Consider the following 8,316-nt stretch of genomic DNA (forward strand, 5'->3'; position numbering starts at 1 on the left):
ATATCTTTATTAGCAGCATGAGAACAGACTAATACACCCAGGCACTACATCGAGGGCCTTGGGTGAGCCTCTGAGACTTGCTAGCTTCAGGTGAGACTCAGCACATTACCAGCTGTGGTGGATCGGGGACAAAGCTCTTTCTGCATGAGAAACACAGAGAAAAAGTAAAGGAGACTTTGTCTTTCACCTTATGTACCAGCACAGCCACGGCATATGTCAAGCACCAAGAGGACACTTCAGGTCCTTGATTCCAGGACTTGAATTTAGGACAGAATTTCTGGACCTTCCTTGTGCCAGATGGGAGCACACTACCCCGAAGTGTGAATCTGAGGCCAGACAGCATTCATGACAAGCTGACCTAGGAGACCTTGGGAACATCGGTGACAGTCTAGCAGTACTCCCTGTCACCTGGAGTGGTGGTAGCTATGGAGTGAGGCTCCTCTGCCTTTGGAAAGGGGAGGAAAAATGGGAAGGACTGAACCTTGTGGTTTGAGTGCCAGCACAGCCTCAATACAATAGAACACCAAGTAGACTTCTAAGGTTTTCTACTCTAGTCCCTGAGTGTCATAAGGCACTTTTAGATACACCCAGGGCCTGGGGACTTGGCTGCCCTGGAGGAAAAAATCACAAGCCTAGCTGGTTTTGCTACTGGCTGATTGTAGAGGCCCAGGGCCTAGAGCTAACATAAGCAGTAGCCAGGAAGTGGTTATAGTAGGCCTTGGGTGAAACCCCCATAGTGGCTTCGGATTTGACTCAGTACAGTCACAGTGGTGGTGGTCACAGGGGTGCTTGTGTCACTCTATTCTCAGCTTTAGGTGGCTCAGGAGAGAGGAGAGAGAGAGAGAGAGAAACTCTGTTCAAGAGAGAGTAAGGGAAGAAAACAAGAGTCTCTGCCTGGTAATCCAGAGAATTCTATCAAACCTTGTGTAAGATCATCAAGGCAGTAACTGTATGAATCTGCAAGAATTACACTATTACTGGGATAGGGGTGCCTTCTAAAGTGAATACAGCTTAGATCATAGTACCGAAGTCCTTTCAAATATCTGAAAAGCCTTCTCAAGAAGTAAAAAAAAAAAGCCCAGACAGTGAAGACTACAAGAAATACCTAACTCTTCAATGCCCAGAAACCAAAGAATATCTACTAGCATCAACATCATTCAAGAAAACATGACCTAACCAAATGAAACAAATAAGGCAAAAGGGATCAATTATGGAGAAACAGAGATATGTAAACTTTCAGACAGAGAATTTGAAATAGCTGTGTTGAGGAAACTCAAAGAAATATAAGATAACACAGAGAAGGAATTCCGTATTCTATCTGATAAATCAAACAAAGAGACTGAAATAATTAAAAAGAAACAAGCAGGAATTCTGAAGCTGAGAAATGCATTTGGCATACTGAAGAACACATCAGAGTATTTTAATAGCAGAACTGATCAAGCAGAAGAAAGAATTAGTGAATTTGGAAACAGGCTATTTGAAAATAAACAGTCAAAAAAGACAAAAGGAAAAAAAAGTGTGCTTACAGCATCTAGAAAATACCCGGAAAGGGGCAAATCTAACAGTTGATAGCCTCAAAGAGGAGGCTGAGAAAAAGATAGGGGTAGAAAGTTTATTCAAAGGGATAACAGAGAACATCCCAAAACTAGAAAAAGATGTCAATGCTCAAAAATAAGACTGTTATAGAATACCAAGCATATTTTACCTAAAGAAGACTATCTCAAGGCATTTAATAAACTTCCAAAGTTCGAGGATAAAGAATAAATCCTAAAAGCAGCAAAAGGAAAGAAAAAAATAACATACAATGGAGCTCCAATAAGTCTGGCAGCACACTTCTCAGTGGAGATAGTACAGGCCAGGTGAGAGTGGCATGACATATTTAAAGTACTGAAGGAAGGAAACCTTTTATCCTAAAATAGTATATCTGATAAAAAATATTATTTAAACATGAAAGAAAAATAAAGGCTTTCCCAGACAAACAAAAGCTGAGGGTTTTTTTTATCAATACTAGACCTACATGAAATGCTAAAAAGAGTACTTCAATCAGAAAGAAAATGACATGAATGATCTCAAAGCAAAACCATACAAGCAATACACAAAAAATTAAAAACAACAAACTAAATCATATCACCAGAGAAAATCACCTTCACTAGAGGAAGATATAAAGGAAAAAAGAAGGAAGAGAAGACCATAAAACTACCAGAAAACAAATAATAAAATGACAAGAGTGAGTCCTTCTATATCAATAATAACATTGAATGTAAATTGACTAAACTCTCAAATTGAAAGACACAGACTGAATGGATAAGAAAGCAAGAACCATTGATCCCAGAAGAAACACTTTTCACCTACAAGGACATACATTGTCTGAAAATAAAAGGATGGGAATACATATTCTATTTCAATGGGAGCCAAAATAGAGCAATAACTGCTATACTTAATATCAGAAAAAATAGATTTCAAGACAAAAACTGTGAGAAAAAGAAGGTCAGTATGATAAATGGGTCAATACTGCAAGAGGATATGAAACTTTTAAATATATATGCACCCAACACCAGAGCACCCAGATATATGAAGGAAATGTTAGAGATAAAGAGAGAGATAGACTCCAATACAATAACAAGTGGAGGTGAAGCATTTTCTGTGACAACAGTGAAATAAAATTAGATAATAATAAAAAGAGAAAATTTGTAAACTATACTCTTACATGAAAATTAAACAATATACTCCTGAATGACCAGTGGGTCAATGAAGAAGTTAAGAATAAAATTGAAAATTTTTCTCAAACAATGTGGAAACATAACATGCAAACAACCATAGAATACAGCAAAAGAATTACTAAAAGGGAAGATTATAGCTGTTAGTGCCTATACTGAAAAAGAGGAAAAACTTAAAATGAAAAATCTAACAATGTATCTTAAAGAACCAGAAAAGCGGAAGCTAACCAATACCAAAATTAGGTAAAGAAAAAATAATAATAAAAATCAAGTCAGAAATAAATGAAATTGAAATTAAAAAACATACAAAAGATTAATAAAGCCAAAAATTTTGTTTTTAAAAAGTTAAACAAAATTGGCCAAACTTTAGTCAGACTAAGTAAGAAAAAAAGAGGAAATACAAATAAATAAAATCAGAAATGAAAAATTCAACATTACAACTGATACTGCAGAAATGCAAATGATCATTAGTTCCTGCTATGAAAAACTATATGCCAATAAATTGTAAAATGTAGAAGAAATGGACAAATTTCTAGATATATACAAGTGACCAGCATTGAACTAGAAAGAAATCAAAACTGGAACACATTAATAACAAGTAATGAGATTAAAACCTTAATAAAGTCTCCCAGCAAAGAAAAGCCTGGGACCCAGTGGTTTCATTGCTGAATTCTACCAAATATTGAAAAAATAACTAAAACCATTCCTATTCAAACTATTCTGAAAAATAGAGGATGAAAGAATATGTCCAAACTCATTCTATGGTGCCAGTATTATGCTAATACCAAAAGCAGACAAAGATACATCAAAAGATGAAAACCACAGGCCATACATCTGATAAATATTTATGCAAAAATTCTCAACAAAATAGTAGCAAACTGAATTCAACAATACATTAGAAAGATCATTCATCATGAACAAGTGGGAATTATTCCTGAGGTGCAAAGTGTGTTCAATATACACAAATAAATCTATGTGATACATCATATCAGCAGAATGAAGAATGAAAACCATAAGATCATTTCAATTAATGCTGTAAAAACATTTGATAAAATTTAACATCCCTTTATGATAAAAACCCTCAAAGAACTGGTGATAGAAGAACCATACATGTACATAATAAGAGTTATATTGGACAGACCCACAAGTAGTATCATACCGAATGGGGTAAAAATGAAAGCCTTTTCTCTAAGATCTGGAGCAAGACAAGGATGCCCACTGTCATGACTGTTATTCAGTATAGTACTGGAAATCCCAGCTAGAGCAATTAGACAAGAGAAATATATAAAGTGCATTCAAATTGAAAAATAAAAGAAATCAAATTATTCTTGTTTGCAGATGATGTGATCTTAGATTTGTAAAAACCTAAAGATGCCAAAAGAAAATGGTTGGAACTGATAAACAAATTTAGTACAATTGAAGAATAAAAAATTAACATACGAAAATTGGCTGCATTTCTATATGCCAGCCGTGAACAATGTTAAAAAGAAATTTAAAAAGTAATTTTATTTACAACAGCCACACATAAAATTAAATACCAGCAAATAACCAAAGAAGTGAAAGATCTCTATACTGAAAACTATAAAAGACTAATGAAAGAAATTGAAGAGAGCACCAAAAAATATTTCATGTTAATGGATTGGAAGAATCAATATTGTTAAAATATCCATACTATACAAAGCAATCTACAGATTCAATGCAGTCTCTATCAAAATCCCAAAGGGCTTCCTCAGAGAAACAGAAAAAAAAAATCCTAATATTTGTATAACACCACAAAAGAACCAGAATAGCCAAGACAATCCTAAACAAAAATAAAAAAAGAACTGGAGGAATCATATACCTGACTTAAAATTATACCACTGAGCTCTAGTAACCAAAAGAGCATGGCACTGGCATAAAAACAGACTCATAGACCAATGGCACAGAATAGAGAACCCAGAAACAAATCCACACACCTACAGTGAATTCATTTTCAACAAAGGTTCCAGGAACATACACTGGGGAAGACAGTCTCTTCAATAAATGCTGGGAAAACTGGATATCCATATGGAGAAGAATGAAACCATCACTTGCCATATGCAAAAGCAAAATTAAAATGGATTAAATAGATTAGAGTCAGAGAGAGATTTGCCGATACTGCTGACCTTGGAGATGGAGGAAGAAGCCACAAGCCAAGGAATGCAGTGTTATTTTAAGATTCCTCCTTTTCAATCCATGTTGGGCAAGATGGCCCAATAGAAAATGGTCCAGTCTTGCAGCTCCAAGCAAGACCAATGCAGAAGGGGGTGATTTCTGCATTTCCAACTGAGATCAGGAGATTCCCTCATGTGCCTACACCTCCAGAGCCCTGGGTTTCAAGTACAAAACTGGGCCACTGTTTCGGCAGACATCGAGCTAACTGGAGCAGTTTTTTTCATACCCCAGTGGTGCCTGGAACTCCAGCAAAATAAAACTGTCCACTCCCCTTGAAAGGGGGCTGAAGCCTCGGAGCCAAGTGGTCTTGATCAGTGGGTCCCACTCCCACGGAGCCCAGCTAGAAGCACTGGCTTGAAATTCTCACTGTCAGCACAGCAGTCGGAAGTCAACCTGGGATGATCAATCTTGGTGGGGGGAGGGGCTTCCGCCATTACTGAGGCTTGTGTAGACTGTTTCCCCCTGACAGTGCTAAGGAGGCTGGGAGGTTTTGACTGGGCAGAAATCACCACAGTGTGGAAAAGTTCCTGTGGCTAGAATGCCTCTCTAGATTTCTCCTCACTGGGCAGGGCATTTCTGAAAGAAAGGCAGCAGCCCCAGTCAGAGGTTTATGGATATAACTCCCGTCTCTCTGAGACAGAGCACCTGGGAAAAGGGGACGCTGTGGGCACAACTTCAGCGGACTTAAACTTTTCTGCCTCGCAGCTCTGAAGACAGCAGCAGCTGACCCTGACAAGGAGATTCTCCCAGCACAACACTTGAGCTCTGCTAAAATACAGAAGGCCTCCTAGCGTGGACCCCTGACCACTGTCCCTCCTAACTGGGAGACACTTCCCAACAGGAGTTGACAGACACCTCATATAGGAGAGCTCTGGCTGGCATCAGGCTGGTACCCCTCTGGGATAAACCTTCCAGGGGAAGGAGCAGGCAGGAATCTTTGCTGTTCTGCAGCCTCCACTGGTGACACACAGGCAAAAAAGGATCTGGAGTGGACCTCCAGCAAACTGCAGCAGACCTGCAGAATAGGGACTTGACTGTTAGAAGAAAAATTAACTAACAGAAAGCAACAACATTAACAAAAAGGACTCCCACACAATAACTTCATCCAAAGGTCATCAGCCTCAAAGATCAAAGGTAGATAAATACATGAAGATGAGGAAAAGCCAGCACAAAAATGCTGAAAATTTCCAAAACCAGAATGCCTCTTCTCCTCCAAATGATCCCAACTCCTCTGCAGCAAGAGCCCAAAACTCGGTGGAAAATGAGATTGGCAAATTGACAGAAGGTGGGTAATAACAAACTACACTGAGCTAAAGGAACATGTTCTAACCCAATGCAAGGAAGCTAAGAAGCTTGATAAAAGGTTACAGGAACCGCTAACTAGAATAACCAGTTTAGATAGGAGCATGACCTCATGGAGCTGAAAAACACAGCACGAGAACTTTGTGAAGCATCCTGAAGTATCAATAGCCAAATCAATCAAGTGGAAGAAAGGATATAGGAGATTGAAAACCAAGTAACTGAAATAAGGCATGCAGACAAGATTAGAGAAAAAAGAATGAAAAGAACAAAGCGTCCAAGAAATATGGGACTATGTGAAAAGACCAAACCTACAATTGCTTTGTGTGCCTGAAAGCGGACCTCTCTGAAGAAATCATACAATCCAGAAGGTAGTGGGGGCCAATATGCAACATTCTTAAAGAAAAGAATTTTCAACCCAGAATTTTATATGCAGCAAACTAAGCTTCATAAGTGAAGGAGAAATAAAATCCTTTCCAGACAAGCAACTGCTGAGAGATTTTGTCACCATCAGGCCTGTCTTACAAAAGGTCCTAAAGGAAGCACTGAATATGGAAAGGAAAAACTGGTACCAGTCACTGCAAAAGCACACCAAAATATAAAGATGAGTGACGCTATAAAGAAACTGCTTCAACTAATGTGCAAAAGAATCAGCTAGCATCATGATGACGGAATCAAATTCACACATAACAATATAAACCTTAAATGTAAATGGGCTAAATGCTCCAATTAAAAGACATGGGGTTGGGCGCACTGGCTGATACCTGTAATCCTAGCACTTTGGGAGGCTGAGACAGGCAGATCACCTGAGGTCAGGAGTTTGAGACCAGCATGGCCAACATGGTGAAACCACGTCTCTACTAAAAATACAAAAAATTAGCTAGGTGTGGTGGTGGGCACCTGTAATCCCAGCTACTCAGGAAGCTGAGGCACTAGAATTGCTTGAACCCAGGAGGCAGAGGTTGCAGTGAGCCAAGATCACGCCACTGCACTCCAACCTGGGCGAGAGAGCAAGACTCTATCTCAAAAAATAATAATAATAAATAATAAAATAAAATAAAAATAAAGACAAGAGACACAGACTGACAAATTAGATAAAGAATCAAGACCCATCGGTGTACTGTATTCAGGAGACCCAACTCATGTGCAAAGACACACATAGGCTCAAAATAAACAGATGGAAGAATATTTGCCAAACAAATGGAAAGCAAAAAACAAACAAACAAAAAAGCAAAACAAAGCAGGGGTTACAATCCTAATCTGTAATAAAACAGACTTTAAACCATCAAAAATCAGAAAGGACAAAGACGAGCATTACATAATGGTAAAGGGATCAGTGCAACAAGAAGACTAACTACACTAAATATATATGCACCCATACAGGAGCACCCAGATTCATAAAGCAAGTTCTTAAAGACCTACAAAGAGATTTAGACTCCTAAACAATAAGCATGGGAGACTTTAACACCCCACTGTCAATGTTAGACAGATCAATGAGACAGAAAATTAAAAAGGACATTTAGTACTTCAACTCAACTTTGGACCAAGTGGACCTATTAAAAATCTGCAGAACTCTCCACCCAAAATCAACAAAATATACATTCTTCTCAGCACCACGTAATTGAAAGTAAAAGACTCCTCAGCAAATGCAAAAGAATGGAATTCATAACAAACAGTCTCTCAGACCACAGTGCAATCAAATTAGAACTCAGGATTAAGACACTCACTCAAAACCACACAACTACATGGAAATTGAACAACCTGCTCCTGAATGACTACTGTGTAAATAATAAAATTAAGACAGAAATAAAGAAGTTATTTGAAACCCATGAGAACAAAGAAACAACATACCAGAATCTCTGGTACACAGCTAAAGCAGTGTAATGAGGGAAATTTACAGCACTAAATGCCCACATCAGAAAGCTGGAAAGATCTAAAATCGACACCTGAGCATCAAAATTAAAAGAACTAGAGAAGCAAGAGCAAGCAAATTCAAAAGCTAGCAGAAGACAAGAAATAACTAAGATTAGAGCAGAACAGAAGGATATAGAGACATGAAAAACCCTTCAAAAATCAATAAATTCAGAAGCTGGTTTTTAAAAAGATT

General features: G+C 38.0%; 1 annotated feature.

Moving 5' to 3' along the window:
• Window positions 544-653: a silencer, noted in NCBI's record as "silent region_20885". NCBI's record gives its function as "represses an Ori minimal core promoter by ATAC-STARR-seq in GM12878 lymphoblastoid cells {active_cell/tissue: GM12878}" and the evidence as "EXISTENCE:reporter gene assay evidence [ECO:0000049][PMID:35858748]".

Source organism: Homo sapiens, chromosome X (genome assembly GCF_000001405.40).
Source record: "Homo sapiens chromosome X, GRCh38.p14 Primary Assembly".
NCBI lineage: Eukaryota > Metazoa > Chordata > Mammalia > Primates > Hominidae > Homo > Homo sapiens.